This window comes from Homo sapiens, chromosome 1 (genome assembly GCF_000001405.40).
Source record: "Homo sapiens chromosome 1, GRCh38.p14 Primary Assembly".
Lineage (NCBI taxonomy): Eukaryota > Metazoa > Chordata > Mammalia > Primates > Hominidae > Homo > Homo sapiens.
Genome location: NC_000001.11, coordinates 223,981,914 through 223,999,728, shown reverse-complemented (window position 1 = coordinate 223,999,728; position 17,815 = coordinate 223,981,914). Strand labels below are relative to the sequence as shown.

General features: G+C 42.1%; 2 pseudogenes across 5 annotated transcripts in view, besides 6 other annotated features; one reads left to right on the top strand and one right to left on the bottom strand.

Moving 5' to 3' along the window:
• The window catches only part of SEPTIN7P13 (septin 7 pseudogene 13), a 41,130-nt pseudogene extending 34,131 nt beyond the window's left edge, over window positions 1-6,999 (bottom strand). For 3 of the 4 annotated variants that reach the window (NR_136593.1, NR_136590.1, NR_136591.1), the window contains 1 exon segment: window positions 6,682-6,999. The product of NR_136593.1 is annotated as a septin 7 pseudogene 13, transcript variant 4 (transcript). 4 annotated transcript variants of the gene reach the window in all.
• Window positions 6,079-6,700: an enhancer, noted in NCBI's record as "NANOG-H3K27ac-H3K4me1 hESC enhancer chr1:224180731-224181352 (GRCh37/hg19 assembly coordinates)". NCBI's record gives its function as "activates a minimal SCP1, AML or CMV promoter by ChIP-STARR-seq in primed H9 embryonic stem cells {active_cell/tissue: H9 hESC(primed)}" and the evidence as "EXISTENCE:reporter gene assay evidence [ECO:0000049][PMID:30033119]".
• Window positions 6,079-6,707: a biological region, named in NCBI's record as "NANOG-H3K27ac-H3K4me1 hESC enhancer GRCh37_chr1:224180731-224181352".
• Window positions 6,528-6,707: a silencer, noted in NCBI's record as "silent region_1846". NCBI's record gives its function as "represses an Ori minimal core promoter by ATAC-STARR-seq in GM12878 lymphoblastoid cells {active_cell/tissue: GM12878}" and the evidence as "EXISTENCE:reporter gene assay evidence [ECO:0000049][PMID:35858748]".
• Window positions 6,701-7,324: an enhancer, noted in NCBI's record as "NANOG-H3K27ac-H3K4me1 hESC enhancer chr1:224180107-224180730 (GRCh37/hg19 assembly coordinates)". NCBI's record gives its function as "activates a minimal SCP1, AML or CMV promoter by ChIP-STARR-seq in primed H9 embryonic stem cells {active_cell/tissue: H9 hESC(primed)}" and the evidence as "EXISTENCE:reporter gene assay evidence [ECO:0000049][PMID:30033119]".
• Window positions 6,928-7,067: a silencer, noted in NCBI's record as "silent region_1845". NCBI's record gives its function as "represses an Ori minimal core promoter by ATAC-STARR-seq in GM12878 lymphoblastoid cells {active_cell/tissue: GM12878}" and the evidence as "EXISTENCE:reporter gene assay evidence [ECO:0000049][PMID:35858748]".
• Window positions 7,085-17,815, top strand: part of GTF2IP20 (general transcription factor IIi pseudogene 20) — a 41,379-nt pseudogene continuing 30,648 nt past the window's right edge. The window contains exons 1-5 of the transcript NR_132119.1: window positions 7,085-7,489; window positions 11,575-11,684; window positions 13,089-13,154; window positions 15,289-15,347; window positions 16,444-16,971. The product of NR_132119.1 is annotated as a general transcription factor IIi pseudogene 20 (transcript). The remainder of the gene's footprint in view (window positions 7,490-11,574; window positions 11,685-13,088; window positions 13,155-15,288; window positions 15,348-16,443; window positions 16,972-17,815) is intronic.
• Window positions 7,188-7,237: an enhancer, noted in NCBI's record as "active region_2592". NCBI's record gives its function as "activates an Ori minimal core promoter by ATAC-STARR-seq in GM12878 lymphoblastoid cells {active_cell/tissue: GM12878}" and the evidence as "EXISTENCE:reporter gene assay evidence [ECO:0000049][PMID:35858748]".

Sequence of the window (17,815 nt, the reverse complement as noted above, 5' to 3'; positions counted from 1 at the left end):
GACCTCTTTTGGCATCCGAGATTCCAGAAATCAAAGGTACTCATTTTCTAATACTGAGTGTATACAGTATACAAGAGTATTAGTATACTGAGTTTTCAGTTTTACAATCTGAGGAAAAAAAGTCAAACAATGTTGATTATACAGCTTCATATACACTAACCTTTTCTAACTTAATGTTTATACGCCATTTATTAAGGTAAATTAAGAAGTTATTTAATTAAGCATATAACATTTTGAAGAGAGGGTTAAAATTTTCTGTCAAGAGCTTACCTCTACCTACACTTGCTCAAGAGGTAGCATTACAGCCAAAACTCTGAAGACATTGGAATGGCCTGAGATACTCCACTTAGCTCAAACACAAAAACTATCTATTTCCCTTATTTATTGGCTCAAAAGATGAATATCATCTTAAATGTTTCATCGTGTTCCACAAGACAATGAAAGAGGAAGTAACCAATAGTAGAACAGTTATGCCTGAAGAATACTTCCTTCTCACGAAGACCCAGGACTACTTTACTGAGAAGAAAGTTGATCCCAAAACTCTAATTTGGCTTTCTATTCTGAACCTCTCCACTCCTCATATCCCTGTCTCCTTACTGAGACCTCAAATCCCTTGCCCCTCTCATTTTCTATTAGCAACCTCCTTCCCAAAACCTTTATTTCTTTCCCTTTCCAACTCAAATCCCATTCTGGATTAACCCCTCTTTCTATTCCTATACCATAAAATTCATGACCTTCAACCTCAAAAAGAATTTCTCTGCTAATATTACTCTTATGTGCTCCTTAGTCTCATGCCTCTCCCATTTCCTAATAGGCTCTTCCCAAGCCCGTGCCTGTCACAATGCTCAGTGAAGTACCTCACATCACCACTTAAAAATGAGACCATTCCCAGTCTGTCTGAATCAGCACTGTACCTTCCATGGTACAGTGTGTGTGAAATTTATCTTTTTCCTAAAGCTAATTTCTCAATCTATTCTAGGGAACTGATTAATTTCCATTTTAGATTCATCTTGACAACCGTTTACACTATTTCCCCTATATCTTCAAGACTACTGGGCTTGGTAAAGAGCCAGCCAACTATTAAAAAGATTACATTCTCATTTTCTAACTATATTCAGGCTTCTTGAATGACTCTGACCCTGTCCATAATATGGCATGTTCTTTCCTAACTGGGCACAAGAGTTTAGATTATCTTCAGCTAGTTTTCAGTATATAAAGGAATACACCTCTATGGTTCAATCAGGAAAGAGGACTTCTACAGGATTCTACTAAGGATCAATCTGGTTCTCAAATGTTACAGGTCTTCTTTTTGGTACAGAAAAGATATTTAACAGTGGTGCACAGGCCTGTCTTAAAAATCCTACTAGAGATATTCTCTAGTACCTCCATTACCCCTTTGTTTTCAAGATAAAGAGAGTTTCCGGGAAGATATTCACAACAGAAGAGGATATTTTTGAAGTGTTACTTTAAAGGAAGGTAAAATGGGTTTAGGCAATTTATTTTGAAGCTAAGCCAATGTAAGAATTCTAAAATAAATTGAGGGCATGTCACATCTTTAACAGATGCTCACCTGGGGAGAAAATGTCTGCAATATCTAAAATGTAGGGGATTATTAGATTTTTCAAACTCCTATAAATCAGCAAGAAAATGACAGAAAATATTAAGATTACCAAAAGACTTTAATGAAATCTGAACAGTTATTGAGTACAAGACATGTTCAACCTCACTAGAAATCAAATAAAATAAACTCAAATACCTTTATATCTTTATGCACACACAACAGCAATGAGTGCCTAAGTCTACTAAGACATGCACAAGAATGTTCCCGTTAGTAAAAAACTGAAAACCCAAAGGCTTATCTACAATAAATAATAAAGGATATACTTTATACATTCACACAATGGAGTATTATACGACGATGAAAAAAACAACTACACCCAACATGAGTAAATAATACAGACATAATCTTCACTGAAAGAAAACAGATACAAAAAAGTATACGTATATAACGTTCAAGAACAGGCAAATTTATGGAGAAGGCAGTCAGTAAGGTGTTTATCTTTGGGGGTTGTAATACTGAATGCGAGTGAGCACATGGAAGAAACTAGGGTTCTGGAAATGAACTGTATATTAATTTGGATAGTGGTTAGTTTTACCTTTCATATCTAAATTCATAAATACTTAAGTGAAGGTATTCATAATAGATACCCAAATTAAGAAAGTTCAAAGTTCATTTTCTTGCTTAGGTTTAAAATTTCCAATATTTATCACAAAATAAATAAGCATGTAGGATCAAGTTTTTAGAGTAGAATTTTGCAGGTAATTTTAAATCTCAAGCCCTATGAAGGTTACTAAAAAAAAAAAAATTCCCAAAATAGAAACATTAAAAAGGAGAAATAAGATATTTACTTCAAAAAATTACTCCTTTGGGGTCTTGCAGTATGATATATATGAGTTACTGCTCAGAATATATAGACTGTCCTCCTATCCTGTGCACTGGGATGCTCACTACCACTTCTTCAAATCCAGCTAAAAGCATCACGGCCTCAATGAAGCCTACTTCAGCCAGAACTGTTCACGTGCCTCCTCTCTGCTCGTGTCCTACATATTACCTAAGCAGAGCTCACCAACAATATTTTTCATCAACAGCTTAGAGCAGCGCTGCCAAATAAAAATACCATGTCGGTCATGTAAGTAATTTAAAATTTTCTTAGTAGCCACTTTTAAAATAGGAAAAAGGTGAAATCAGTCAATTTTATTTAACCCGATACATCCAAAATATTATCACTGCAGTATACAATCAATATAAAAAATTACGGAGATTTTCTTTTCCATGCTCAGTCTTAGAAATCTGTGGCATATTTTATATTTGCAGAACATCACAATTCAGACTACCCACATTTCAAAGATTAATAGCCACATGTGGCTACAGGCTGCTGTACTATTTAATAAAAAGTGCATATCTAGAGTCTAGCCCCTTGCTTTATAAAGTGTGATCTACCATCCAGCGGCATCAGCATCACCTGGGATCTTGTTAGAAATGTAGAAAGGCAGCCCATCTCAGAACTACTAGAAGAAATAAATTTAACAGGATACCCAGGATTGGAATGCGTAGCAAAGACTGAGAAGCAGTAAATTAGATCACATATAGCATGGGAGTTTTACAGAATTGCTATTGCCATTCAACTATGATATGGTATTATCCCACTGACTAATATAGAACACTATTTAAATAACAATAGTTTTTCTATGAATCATGTTTTCTCTACACTGTCCAATGCAATTTTCTACAATGATGAAAATCTTCATATATGTGCTGCACAAAATGGCAGCCACTTGCCACATGTGGCTGTTGAGCACTTGAAATGTATCTGGAGCAAATGAGAAATTGCATTTTAATTTAATTAATTTTAATTGATTTAAACATGTGGCAAATGACTATCATACTACATAGCACAACTCCAGGGGAATTGGTTACTATGTCACAGTGTCATCTCTAGGAGAATCCTTAGGACAAATTTGGAAAGTTCTAGTCAAGATAATTCTTTCGATTAACTGTACTTCCTCTGTTTTTTTGATTTTATGAAGTCATATTTACCATCTTACACTGGCTAAGGGCAAATTTGCATCTTACCTCTAGGGAAGCATAATGAAAGTTACAACACGTGCTTTGTGTGTATTAATATTATTCCAGCTTATCATCAATTAAAAATACCAATATGTAGACCTGTACAGGCTTTTTAATTCTCTGAGAAGGACCTGGATACTCTGGAGAATACAAATCTGTGAGGAATAATGAGTTGATTAATATCAACTTTCCCAATCCAGATTCGCCTAAAAGAAATAAGGGAAAATATCTGTTAAACTCACCCACTTTACTCAACCTTAAATATTCAACAGATGCTGTAATTGAACTTGCTTTATGCAAGTATTTCTTGGTGAGACAATGAAATGACATTAGAAAATATGCTACAAAGAATAAGTAACTTGTCCTCAGTTTCTTAGCTATCAAATTAAACTCACATTTCCAAGGATTCTTTTCAGCCTTCTAATTATACCACTTATATTCATTAAAAGTAATGTATCTAATAATTACATTTTTAACAGTAATGTATTCCCAAAGAAAAAAAGTCAGTCATTATTTAAAAATCCAAGTTGGATTATATATCACTGCTTCAGTGAAATAAAGTTTTTCTTTATTAATAGACAATAATGAATGAATAATAAACAAGAAATCATGCAGCTATAAAAAGCAAAAATCTGCTAATACAAAGAATAATTAATCACAATGAACATCTCCGTATAAAATTCTAAATCACAAAAAATACTTTCTAATTTTGCCGCCCATCAGCCTAAATATAAGGGTGCTTCTCCACAAACCAGAATCCAAAAAATCTTAGGTAATTACTTTTTCTACCACTTCTACTCAAGGTAGGAGGTAGACACGAAGGAAGCTAGGGCATGATTTCTACTCTGACCACATACTCTTTTTTGACTCTCCGTGTTTAGTCCAATATACATAGTCCGGTGTATAGTAATTATTACAAGTATACCAAAATATAAATGGCTTCAAGGTATATATAACCTAAGGTTAAAACAAATTATAAATCAGATTATGATAATTAACATGGCACAGAGTTAAAGTATTTATTGTTAATAACTCACTTAGCATAATAGGCATGTTTAGCCTAAGTAACTGGTGTCACAATATTTTTATGCCTAGGAGGAATTCTTTTTATATTAGCTCTCAAAAGAGATAAGATTCTCTCCGCGTGGTTTGGGCTTACCCCTTTGACTGAGAGCATGCCACTTTTTACTAGAGGTTGATGTATGACTCAACTTAGAGTTGAGGATGAAAAGTGGGGATCATAGCACCTGCCTATACCCTGGTACAGATCATATGATGTTGATTTATTTATTTGTGGAGTCAGGGTCTCGCTGTGTTGCCCAGGCTGGAGTGCAGTGGTACGATCATGGCTCACTGCAGCCTTGAACTCCTGGGTGTGGTGGTGCGCACCTGTAGTCCCAGCAACTCTGGCAGGCTGAGGCAGGAGAATCGCTTGAACTCAGGAGGCGGAGGTTGCAGTGAGCCGAGATTACGCCACTACACTCCAGCCTGGAGACAAAGTAAGACTCCATCTCAGGAAAAAAAAAATTTAAATTAAAAAGTTCTAGTATCTAAAATGAGCAAAATCGCCAGGCGCGGTGGGTCACACTTGTAATCCCAGCACTTTGGGATGCAGAAGTGGGTGGACCAGCCGAAGTCAGAGGTTGAGACCAGCCTGCAGTGAGCCGAGATTGCACCACTGCACTCCAGCCTGGGAGACAGAGTGAGACTCCATTTCAAAAAAAGAATTAGCCAAGCGTGGTAGCATGCACCTGTAGTCCTAGCTACCGGGGAGGCTGACAGGGAAGGATTCCTTGAGCCCGAAGGTCAAGGCTGCAGTGAGCCTTGTTTGCACCAACTCACTCCAACCTGGGCAAGACCCCATCTCAAAAAAGAAAAAAAACCCACAAAAACAAAAAACAAAACAGAACAGAACAGCATCACTTCCTTATCATTAGTTTGAAGGAAGTGAATTGCCTGTAAAAGTTTCCATTTTCAAAAAAAGTATTAAAATATAGTGTAAAGCCAGGCACGATGGCTCATTCCTGTAATCTCAGCACTTTGGGAGGCTGAAATGGATTGCCCCTGGAGGTCGAGGCTGCAGCTGAGCGATTCTCCCGCCTAAGCCCGGCAAGTAGCGGAGACTACAAGTGCGTGCCACCATGCCCAGCTAATTTTTTGTATTTTTGTAGAGACAGGCTTCCACCATGTTGCCCAAACTAGTCTGGAATTCCTGAGCTCAAGTGATCCACCCGCTTCCGCCTCCGCCTCCCAAAATGCTGGGATTACGGGCGTGAGCCACCGGGCCTGGCCCAATTACTTTCTTCAGTCTGAGCATGAGCGCTGGAAGAAAAGCTCTCACTTGCATATAATTTTTTAGAGACAGAGTCTCCCTCTGTTACACAGGCTGGAGTGCAATGGCGCAATCTCAGCTCACTGTAACATCAACCTCCAGTGCTCGATCGCTTATATAATCTCAGCTCACTGTAATCTCAACCTCCCGGGCTCGATCGCATATATATACACACATATATTTGTTTGTTTAGACGGAGTCTTGGTCTGTTGCCCAGGCTGGAGTGCAGTGGCGCGATCTCCGCTCACTGCAACCTCCGCATCCCGGGTTCAAACAATTCTCTGCCTCAGCCTCCCGGGTAGCTGGGATTACAGGCACCAGCCACCACGCCCGACTAATTTTTGTGTTTTTAGTAGAGACGGGGTTTCAGTGAAACCATGCTGGCCAGGCTGGTTTTGAACTCCTGTCCTCGTGATCCACCTGCCTCGACCTCCCAAAGTGCTGGGATTACAGGCGTGGGCCACCTCGCCCAGCCGACTGCTTATATTTTTAAAAAGATGTTTTCTTCATTTCCTAGCCCCTTCTACCCCGCTACAAAGTTTCAAAGACTTAATGCTATTACAAAGGGCCGTCAGAGGTCAAGCTCAGGGGTGCAGCTCCCTCATGCCAGGCAGCCTCAGAGGGGGCCGACCCTACCCAGGATGAGCGGCGCCAGGTAGCCGGGGACGCTCCCGGGGATCCCCGGGCCCTGGCTGGGGGAGGCGTTGTGGGGCGCACGTACCCAGGCTCAGATGAGGCGAGTGGGCGGCCGGGGCTGCAGCTGGCGCTGGCCATTGAGGAGCTTCTGCGCGACAGTGCGATCGGTTGCACCTTCTGCGACAGGTGCCGGCCGGTTGGCGCGCAGCGCCTGCTAGCGCAGAGTCTGGCCCTTGCTGCGCCCGGCCCCGAAGACCGGGAAGTCGTAAAGCTCCTCCTCGCAGCTTATGTGCGGCGGCGGCCGGGCAGAAGCCTAGCGACACAGAACTGCCAGCTCAGCAGCCGGTTACATCCCGCCCGGCCACCCGTAGGCAGCGTCCGCTCATGCGCGCTCCTGGAAGAACCAGCAGCCCCACCGCGAGTTCCGATTGGCTCTGCGTGAGTGGTAGTTCCCTGCGACGTCACAAGAGCGCGCCTTCCGTGACGTCACAAGGGCGGGTCTTCGCCGACACCATAGAGGTGGGCCTTTGGCGACGTCAGAGGCGCGGGTGTTCGGCTGCGTCACTGGGGCGCTATGGTGCCTGGAGCTGGGCAGTTTTCTCGTCAGAGTGGGGACTGGTAAGAGCGACCTCCCCGCCAGGTCCTGTGTGTTGCCGGCTGAAGAAGGGTAGCTGAAAAATTCAGACCCAGCACAGTGTTTATGTTGGTCAAAAATAGAAAACTATGTCTGGCGCGGCCGAGGCGGGAGGACCCTTCAGGCCAAGAGCAGCGTAGCAACATGGCGCAACCCCATCTCTGTAGTCCTACCTCAGCCCCCCAGCTACTTGAACCCAAAGGTTCAAGGCTCCAGTGAGCTATGATCCCACCACAGCATTCCAGCCTGCGAGATTGAGGTAAACCCTGTCTAAAAAAATTAAAAAAACTATCCAGGTGTGCAACAGGGAGGGACTGCTAAATAAAACATGAGGCTGGCTGGGCCCTACTGTAATCCCAGCACTTTGGGAGGCCGAGGCGGGAGGATGGATGGCTTGGGCTCAGGAGTCGAGACCAGCCTGGGCAACATGACGAAACCCCGTCTCTACAAAAGATACAAAAATTAGCCGGGCGCGGTGGGCACCTGGCCTAATTTTTGTATTTTTTTCTAGAGATGGGGTCGGGGGGGGGGCCTCGCTATGTTGCCCGGGCCAGTTTCAAACTCCTGAGTTGAAGCGATCTTCTCACCTTGGCCATCAGAGTTGTCGGGATTACAGGCGTGAGGGACAGCGCCCCACCTGGGTTAGGCTACTTAATAACATAAGAAAGTGCTCCGCCAGGCTCAGTGGCTGACACCTGTAATCCCAACACTTTGGGAGGCCAAGGCGGGTGTATCACCTGAGGTCAGGAGTTGGAGACCAGCCTGGCCATGGTGAAACCCAGTCTCTACAAAAAATACAAAAATCAGCCGGCCATGGTGGCGCATGCCTGTAGTCCCAGCTACTTGGGAGGCTGATAAAGGAGAATTACTTGAACCCGGGAGGCGGAGGTTGCATTGGGCCAAGATCGCACCACTGCACCCCAGCCTGGGCGACACAGCGAGACTCCAAAGTTTGACACCAGCCTGGCAATGTAGTGACACCCTGTCTCTACAAAACAAACAAACAAAAACCCAGGCATAATGTGTCCACCTGTGGCTCTAGCTAGTTAGGAGGCTGAGGCAGGAGGATCACTTGAGGCCAGGAGCTCAAGGCTGCAGTGAGCTATGATAATCCCACTGCTTCCCATCCTGAGCAATAGAATGAAAGCAGGTCTCTAGATAGCTAGCTAGCTAGATAATTGATACGTAGTTTTGTATCAAATTTTTTCCCTGGATTTGAGCATGTTTTTCTAAAGTAGCATTCAACACATCAGCATTTTACAGTGTTATTATTTGTTAATATGATTATGTTTTTCTGAAATACAGTGTCCTTTACAAAAGCAGTTTTGTCTTTCAAAGCACATAGATAAGGCCCTCAAGTGAATTTGTCTGATGTTGGCGACCTTGGTACCATTTTGTCCACTTGATTGGAAAAGCCAGTCAATAATTTCAGGTCACTGTTGGCCTTAGAAGAAGAGCCTAAAGGCAACAAGCAAAGGCGCTCGTGTCCAGTCGCCTTCTAGGAGCATTTTCACTTTCCCTTAAGGTTTCCCTTGATGAACATAGAAGTACTGTATGTAGAATTGACCCAGTGCTGCCCTGGCAACTTTGTATATTAGGCCAAATTTACATTTCTTACCTTTATGAGAGGCACCCTGGTAGGCTAGTGGAGTTACACACAAAGTGTGATCTCAGCTGCACTGTCCAGAAATGCAACACAGTCCAATCAAATAACATTCTCTGAGCCCGTTTCTTTAGCTGTGAAAGAAGAATAACATACCCATCTAAAAAGGCAGCTTATTGTATTTGATTGGTCTTTTATTTTCTATGAAACTGTGTTTAACACAGTAATTATTTTCATTTGTGTACTACATTTGTGTTGTGTTTTTGGTTTTAGTTTTGTTTTTGAAATGGAGTCTTTTTTAGTGGTTTTTTGTTTTGTTTTGTTTTTGAGATGGAGTCTTTCTATTGTCACCCAGGCTAGAGTGCAGTGGCGTGATCTCCGCTCACTGCAACCTCCACTTCCCAGGTTCAAGTGGTTCTCCTGCCTCAGCCTCCTGAGAAGCTGGAATTACAGGTGCCCACCACCATGCCCAGCTAATTTTTTAAATATATTTTTAGTAGAGATGGGGTTACAACATGATGCCCAGGCTGGTCTCAAACTACTGACGTCAAGTGATCCACCCGCCTTGGCTTCCCAAAGTGCTGGGATTATAGGCATGAGCCACCGCGCCTGGCTTGTTTTAAAATAAGGGTTTCTTGGCTAGGCATGGTGGCTCATACCTGTAATCCCAGCACTTTGGGAGGCCAAGGTCAGTGGATCACCTGAGGTCAGGAGTTCGAGACCAGCCTGACCAATATGGAGAAACCCTGTCTCAACTGAAAATACAAAATTAGCCAGGCGTGGTGGTGCATGCCTGTAATCCCAGCTACTCAGGAGGCTGAGGAAGGAGAATTGCTTGAACCCAGGGGGCAGAGGTTGCAGTGAGCTGAGATCGCACCATTGCACTCCAGCCTGGGCAATGAGCAAAACTCTGTCTCAACATAAAAAAAAGATTTCTTAAAATGATATTTTCAGTATTTTATAGATGATGTGTAAGCAGCAATCTTAATAGGATGTTACCCGACACTTTGCGAGACTGGCAGCTGATTTGATCCGGATGTCTCTAATTCTTTTTTCTTTTTCTTTTTCTGTTTTTTTTTTTTTTTTTTTTTTTTTTGACAGAGCCTTGCTCCGTCCCCCATGCTGGAGTGCAGTGGCACGATCTCGGCTCACTGCAACCTCCACCTCCCGGGTTCAAGTGATTCTCCTGCCTCAGGCTCCCGAGTAGCTGGGATTACAGGCGCGCGCCACCATGCCCAGCTAATTTTTTGTATTTTTGGTAGAGACAGCGTTTCACCATGTTGGCCAGGCTGGTCTCGAACTCCTGACCTTAGGTGATCTGCCTGCCTCGGCTTCCCAAAGTGTTAGGATTACAGGCGTCAGCCACTGTGCCTGGCCCAGATGTCTCTAATTCTAACATGAGATGTTTTGCAGGATCATAGCAGAGTGAGTTGCTGATGTATCCAGAAGGAAACGAGCATGGAACTCTCACGACAGCTGTCCTAATAAGTGTGTGTGTGCTGTGCTTGAATATCTCACTGCTCATTTATACACAGGCTTTCTGGTGACTGAGTTAACAGTATCTGTTTCATAAATAATGTAGCCCTCTTTCTTTCTCTCTCTCTCTCTTTTTTTTTTTTTTTTTTTTTTTTTTTGAGACAGGGTCTTGCTCTACTACCCAGGCTGGAGTGCAATGGTGCAGTCTCAGCTCACCGCAACTTCAGCCTCCTGGGTTCAAGCGATTCTCCTGCCTCAGCCTCCCAAGTAGCTGGGATTACAGGCATGCGCCACCACGCCTGGCTAATTTTTTCTTTTTTTTTTTTTTGAGACGGAGTTTCGCTGTTTTTGCCCAGGCTGGAGTGCAGTGGCACAATCTCGGCTCACCACAATCTTTGCCTTTCGGGTTCAAGGGATTCTCCTGCCTCAGCCTCCCGAGTAGCTGGGATTACAGGCATGTGCCACCACACCCGGCTAATGTTGTAGTTTTAGTAGAGACGGGGTTTCTCTATGTTGGTTAGGCTGGTCTCAAACTCCTGACCTCAGGTGATCTACCCGCCTCGGCCTCTCAAAGTGCTGGGATCACAGGCATGAGCCATCACTCCTGGCCTAATTTTTGTATTTTTAGTAGAGAGAGGGTTTCACTCTGTTGGCCAGGCTGGTCTCGAATTCCTGACCTCAAGTTATCTGCCTGCCTCGGCCTCCCAAACTGTTGGAATTACAGGCGTGAACCACCATGCCTGGCCAGCTCTATTTCTTTAAGCCTACATGTTTTGCACTTGTTAAAAGTATTTGAACATACAATTACTCAGCTTCCCTTGTTTACGCGTGAATTTTGTATAATCTTAAATATTTTTTCCAATCTAAGCTTTATTTTATCCCGTTTCTTCTATATTTGTATAACTTTAGGAGGCTATCTTCATTGAAAGTTTTTTCTCAAAAGCCTTAAGATAGAACATAGTTCTTGGCAGCAATTTGAAAGTTATTTGAGGAGAAGGGGAGACTTACAATGATGATTCAAATGAAGGAAACTAAAAAGTAATGAAGCAAGGCAGAGGAAAAAGCAGTATTCACTTGAGCACATCCCAAAAGAATAACATTTCAAATGTAACTAGAAAAAAGTATGCTGAAGTTCGCAATACAGAAATAATTATTAATAAGATAGCTTTAAAGCCCTGCTCAGCTTTTGAATGTTGGGAATTGACCCAGAGGTGGCTGTAACCTAAGATGGTTCCTTCAGTAATGACCATTTTTTCTTTTTCAAGATGATGATTATTCCCCACCTTCTAAGAGACAAAGACCAACGAGCCACCACAGCCACCAGTCCCAGAACCCGCCAATGCTGGGGAACGGAAAATGAGGGAGTTCAACTCTGGTAAGTTCTCAGCGAAATCCATGACCTTTTCCTTTATCTTCTGGACTCTCAATGTGACTGATGAAAGTTACCACATGCTCTGCAGGGGGAAATGGTTTAGCATGTGTTACTACATCTTAATCACATCTTTGTAAAGCCAGGAGCATTTTACAAGTCACGTTACAGACATTGTTTAAACATAGTCTGTATTTACCAAAGTATAGGACATTGTATCATCTCATATTAATTAGTCAGTTGGCTCAAAATTAGTGCTAATGACTTAGTAATTCAGTGATTTCTGTTAGCTTTAAAACCTTTATTTCAGAACTATTTCACCTTTTGGTTTTCATTTTTGCTGTGTGTCACTGCCTGCCGGCTGCTAATTTATTAACTCCCAGTGAATCATGTGTCCTGTGAAGGGACTGAATATTAGTGGCAATTTATGTTGATGATTTGTATTTTGAATAAATAGTTTGAATACATAGAACATTAAGCTTGTATACGTTTTGAAAATAGTATTTTAATATTCTACTGTGTCATAGTTACAACGATTGGATATATATTGAATTTATATGTACTTTAAGTTGTTCTATGTTTATGGTCTTTAGCATTCTAACGTGCAATTGTATATCTGTTAAGTCTTTTTTTTTTTTCAAGATTAGACTGATTTATTGAGGCATCTGTTTGATGCCACATTAAGTGGCCCAGGCTTTGTGTAGGGGTTGAGGTTAAACAGGAAGAAGGGTGGTGAGAGGCGGGGCACCAGGATTAGGTTGGAATACCTGGGGGTGCTCTGAGGTTTGTGTTTTTGTTTTTGTTTTTTTGAGGTGGAGTCTTGCTCTGTCATCCAGGCTGGCAGTGGCGTGATCTTGGCTCACTGCAATGTCTGCCTCCTGGGTTCAGGTGATTCTCCTGCCTCAGCCTCCTGAGTAGCTGGGACTACAGGCGCCCGCCACCATGCCCTGCTGTTTTGTATTTTTGGTAGGGAGGGGGTGGGGGTGGGGCTAGGGAGGGGGGTTTTGGCTATGTTGCCCTGAGCTCAAAGCGATCCGCCTGCCTCTGCTGCCAAAGTGCTGGGATTACAGGCCTGCACCACTGCACCCGGCTGCTGTAAAGTCTTATTTCACACAGCTGAGACATGTTTCAGGAAGTTTGCTAAAAGACCCCTGGAGACCGCCTCATTGTGACCTCCCTTTTATTGTGTTTAATTTGATTGAACTTTTCTGCCCTCCTGCTTTTCAGCTTCTCTAATAGTCTCCCATTAAACCAATTCTAAGAACCACCAAAAAGGGGAAATTTTTTCTTGAAAGCAGTAAAATGATATGGACTGTTAGAATGTAAAATATATGAAATCAGTCATTATACGTTAGTGCTGCTCTGACATAGGGACGTATTATTGAGAAGCAACTTTTGCTTGATTTTCAGAGAAATGGAATCATCGTATCGCTGATCTACGTAAACAAACTGAAGAATTGTCTGAAAGAAAATATGGTATGTCTAAACTGGAAAAGTCCTGTAATCTTATGTTCATGGGCGTTTACACAATGGAGTTACTGTTCATCATGGGGGTACCGTGGACAAGCCCAGGGCTGCCGGTGAGTCATGCCATCCTTACACGTTTCTCCTTGTAAGGTGCTTTGTAGTGTCTACACACTTTGTTTCTAGATTGCTGCAAAGCTGAGGAAAAGTTGTATTTCTTTAGTTAGCATTTCTTCTAAACTTTCAGTATGGAGATTGGAAATTTATTTACGTATTTATTGCAAAGCCCTGGATCTTAGGAATTTCACTGAATTATTTATTTATTTTTTTTGAGACGGAGCCTCACTCTGTTGCCCAGGCTGGAGTGCAGTGGCACGATCTCGGCTCACTGCAACCTCCGCCTCCCGGGTTCAAGCAGTTCTCTGCCTCAGCCTCCCGAGCAGCTAGGATTACAGGCACCAGCCCTTGTATTTTTAGTAGAGACGGGGTTTCATGATCTTGGCTAGGCTGGTCTTGAACTGCTGACCTCCTGATCCACTCACCTCAGCCTCCCAAAGTGCTGGGATTACAGGTGTGAGCTGCCATGCCTGGCCAAATATTATTTTTTTAAATGAATTGTTTCTCTTAGTCTGCTTTGTTAAATTTGGAATCCATCTGGGCGCGGTGGCTCACACCTGTAATCCCAGCACTTTGGGAGGCCAAGGCAGGCAGATATCTAGGTCGGGAGTTCGAGACCAGCCTGACCAACATGGAGAAACCCTGTCTCTACTAAAAATACAAAATTAGACGGGTGTGGTGGCGCATGTCTGTAATCGCAGCTATTCGGGAGGCCAAGGCAGGAGAATCGCTTGAACCCAGGAGGCAGAGGTTGCAGTGAGGCGAGGTTGGCACCATTGCACTCTAGCCTGGGCAAAAAGAGCAAAACTCCATCTCAAAATAAATAAATAAGTAAAATGTTCAGTACACACCAAGGTGCCCCTGTTGTCTCTACTTTTATCTTGATGCATCACTGAATTGATGTTAGATTTCAAATTCATCATTGCCCTGATACTATTCTATCCTGAAGCCACCTTTATATAGTGATGAAAGAAATTAGCGATTTGTTATTATCCTCTCTCTGTTGGTATACATCAAATACTCACCTAAAAAAGAGCAACAACCAGTGGAAAACATGATGTTTTTATTTGGGTGACTGTTTACTTGTAACCTACTAGCAAACTATAAAATTGTATGATATGCAGAATTTTAACTGAATTGCTTTAAGTGAACATTTAGACATGATAAACAATATTGATGGTATTTATGTTAATATACTTAAAATGAACATTTTTCTTCATCATGAGTAATATAACCTACTCCTCAATGAAAACCTAGCACTAAATTTGCTAATGAATTCAATAACATTTCCATAATATTTTTAGTTACATGCTTAAGGTTCTCTTAGTGTTTCTCCCACTTTTTAATAGCTTATGCCTTTTTCACCTTTTGTTTTTTTTTTGGTTCATTTTAAAGCAAAAATCTCACAACATGTGATATCTGGAAACACTGTAACCTAGTGGTAAGACCATAGGCCCTGGGGACACAGGCTGGCCACGTCTCTTCTCCTGTCTGAGCTTTATTGTCCTCTTTTGTGGTCATGAGAACTGAAGATCTGTCCCGAAGATTTGATAAGATAGTAAAGTGCTTCACATAATACCAGACGTATAAATACACAGTAAATGCTTCCTCCTTATATTTTTATTGATTGATTGATTGAGACAGAATCTTGCTCTCTTGCCCAGGCTGGAATGCAGTGGCGTGATAATGGTTTCTGCAACCTCCACCTCCTGGGTTCAGGCAATTCTCCTGCCTCAGCCTCCCGAGTAGCTGGGATTACAGGTGCCTGCCACCATGCCCAGCTAATTATTGTACTTTTAGTACAGACGGGGTTTTACCATGTTGGCCAGGCTGGTCTTGAACTCCTGACCTCATGATCTGCCTGCCTCGGCCTCCCAAACTGCTGGGATTACAGGTATGAGCCACTGTGCCCAGCCTGTCTTTTCTCTTCACACCCACAGTTCATGATGAAATATTAAATATGTACTAGTGGATATTACTTTGCTGAATATTGCCTAGTGAATATTAAGTATTTATTCTCACCTTTCAGACATGAACTTATGAATTCAACAGGTGAAGATTTACAACTTGATAAATCAACTTTGTGAGGTACGTCTTCAGTCTTAAGTCAGATTAGAAGATTATGTGAGGTAATTAACACTTAACATTGATTTAATGGTAGCTTCCACATGAAATAGTATGCCTCTAAGTATTAATTATGTCCTAGGACAGGAGAATTCATGTTGTCAAAATTCTCATACTCTCTAGAACAATAAACTCATTTTCTTTTTATTAGTAAATATTGCATTTATGGGTAGACAAAACTGAAAGAACAATATTTGTTCTACTTTTGAGATGCAAGATTCATCTGGCATAATGCATTTGAACAGGTTATTATTGAAGTCTACACCAGTCAACTGAATAAGCATTCATCAAATGTCCATGATATGCAGGACATAAGTTTTCTTTTAGAGTATGGAACCATGCATATTATCTTTTAATTAGATGATTTAGTTAGATATGTTTTTAAAGAACTAGAAATATAATTGATTTTCTTGTTTTGGCTCTGGAGTGGAGTTGGGACGAAACAGAATGGATTCACACTGTTTAGATTTACTAAAATGGAAGGATTGCAGCAAGATCATATCCCTAGTCTCCCCATAGCAAATGTCACCTGCTAGCTGTTTTTTTTTTTTTTTTTTTTTTTTTGGAGGTTGAAATTTTGTTCTGTCACCCACGCTGGAGTGCAGTGGTATGATCTCAGCTCATGGCAAGCTCACCTCCTGGGTTCAAGCAATTCTCCCTGCCTCAGCCTCCTAAGTAGCTGGGATTACAGGCCTCTGCCACCACGCCTGCCTAATTTTTGTATTTGTAGTAGAGTTGGGGTTTCACCATGTTGGCCAGGCTGGCCTTGAACTCCTGACTTCAGGAGATTCACCCGCCTCAGCCTCCCAAAGTGCTTGGGATTATGGGTGTGTCACTGCACTTGGATTTAATGGGATATTTCACTACAGACTTTGGTAAACAGAATATTAGCATTTTTGGTGTTCTTTTTATTTTACTCATACTATTTTTCTTTGGACTCAATCACAATAACAGAATTAAAGATCAAAATGTAAAAGTTAAAGACCAGTACAGATTCAATAATTATTCTTTTCTATATACTGCGTTTAAATGATATCCCTTTTTCTTTTTGTTCTTATAGCTCGAGCTGTAAAAGCCAAAGGTCTGGTGATGATCCCATACCCTTTTTTCCAGTCTCATGTTGAAGATTTTTATGTAGAAGGCCTTCCCAAAGGAATTTTTTTTTTTTTTTTTTTTTGAGATGGAGTTTTCACTCTTATCGCCCAGGCTGGGGTGCAATGGCGCAACCTTGCTGGTCACTGCAACCTCTGCCTCCTGGGTTCAAGAAATTCTCCTGCCTTAGCCTCCCAAGTCGCTGGGATTATAGGTGCCCACCACCACACCAGGCTAATTTTTGTATTTTTAGTGGAGATGGGGTTTCACCATGTTGGCCGGGCCAGTCTCGAACTCCTGATGTCAAGTGATCTTCCCGCCTCGACTCCTGACATCAAGTGATCTTCCCGCCTCGGCCTCCCAGAGTGCTGAGATTACAGACGTGAACCCATGCCTGGCCAGGAATTTTGTTTTTTAGGAAGGCTTTCTACTAATGGAATTCCTGGCCTTGAGAGGATGTTACTTTCGAAGGAAAGGATTTTTTTGTTATTAAAAGGTAAGATTCCTGGATTCTTATTGGACTGTTATCTCTGTTATGAGTAATCCATCTTTAGTCATTCACCACTAGGGTTGTATTTAATTAAGTCTGAGTTATTTTATGGTGGTTTTGTTTTGTTTTGTTTTGTTTTTACCGAATTTTGTTCTCATTGCTGTGGCTTGAGGGCAATGGCATGATCTCAGGTCACCACATTCTCTGCCTTCCAGGTTCAAGCAATTCTCCTGCCTCAGCCTCCTGAGTAGCTAGATTTACAGGCATGCGCCACCATGCCTGGCTAATTTTTTGTATTTTTAGTAGAGATGGTGTTTCACCATGTTGACCAGGCTGGTCTAGAACTCCTGACCTTGGGTGATCCACCCGCCTCGGCCTCCCAAAGTGCTGGGATTACAGGCATGAGCCACTGCGCCCAGCCTGGGCCTGCTTCTTTCTCTTTTTTTTTTTTTTTCATTAGCAGCTTAAAATTGGTGCCTTATTCAGACACAAGCAAAAGGACATTAGCCCAGCTTTGGAAATAGGTGAGAGCCCATCTATGATTTTCCTAGTTTCTCCTCCCCCTTTGCTTTTTGCTCTCTTGTTAGTATATTAATTGTTTTCACTCTCTGAATCTTTTTTCCCCATTTCTTTGGAAGACATTTTTACTTGTCTTGGAAGAGTAGGTGAAGAGCTGTTTTTAGGACTCTTTGAAAGGGTACAGTATGGGTGACAGTCTTGGCTAATGGTAACATCCAGGGAGCTGGGGTCAGCGTGAGCTGGAATCAGTTCAAATTAGCAAAGCACTGGCACTCAGTGGCAGGAATACAAGTGACTGCAAAGTGTTAAACACATCTGGAAAGGGATACTG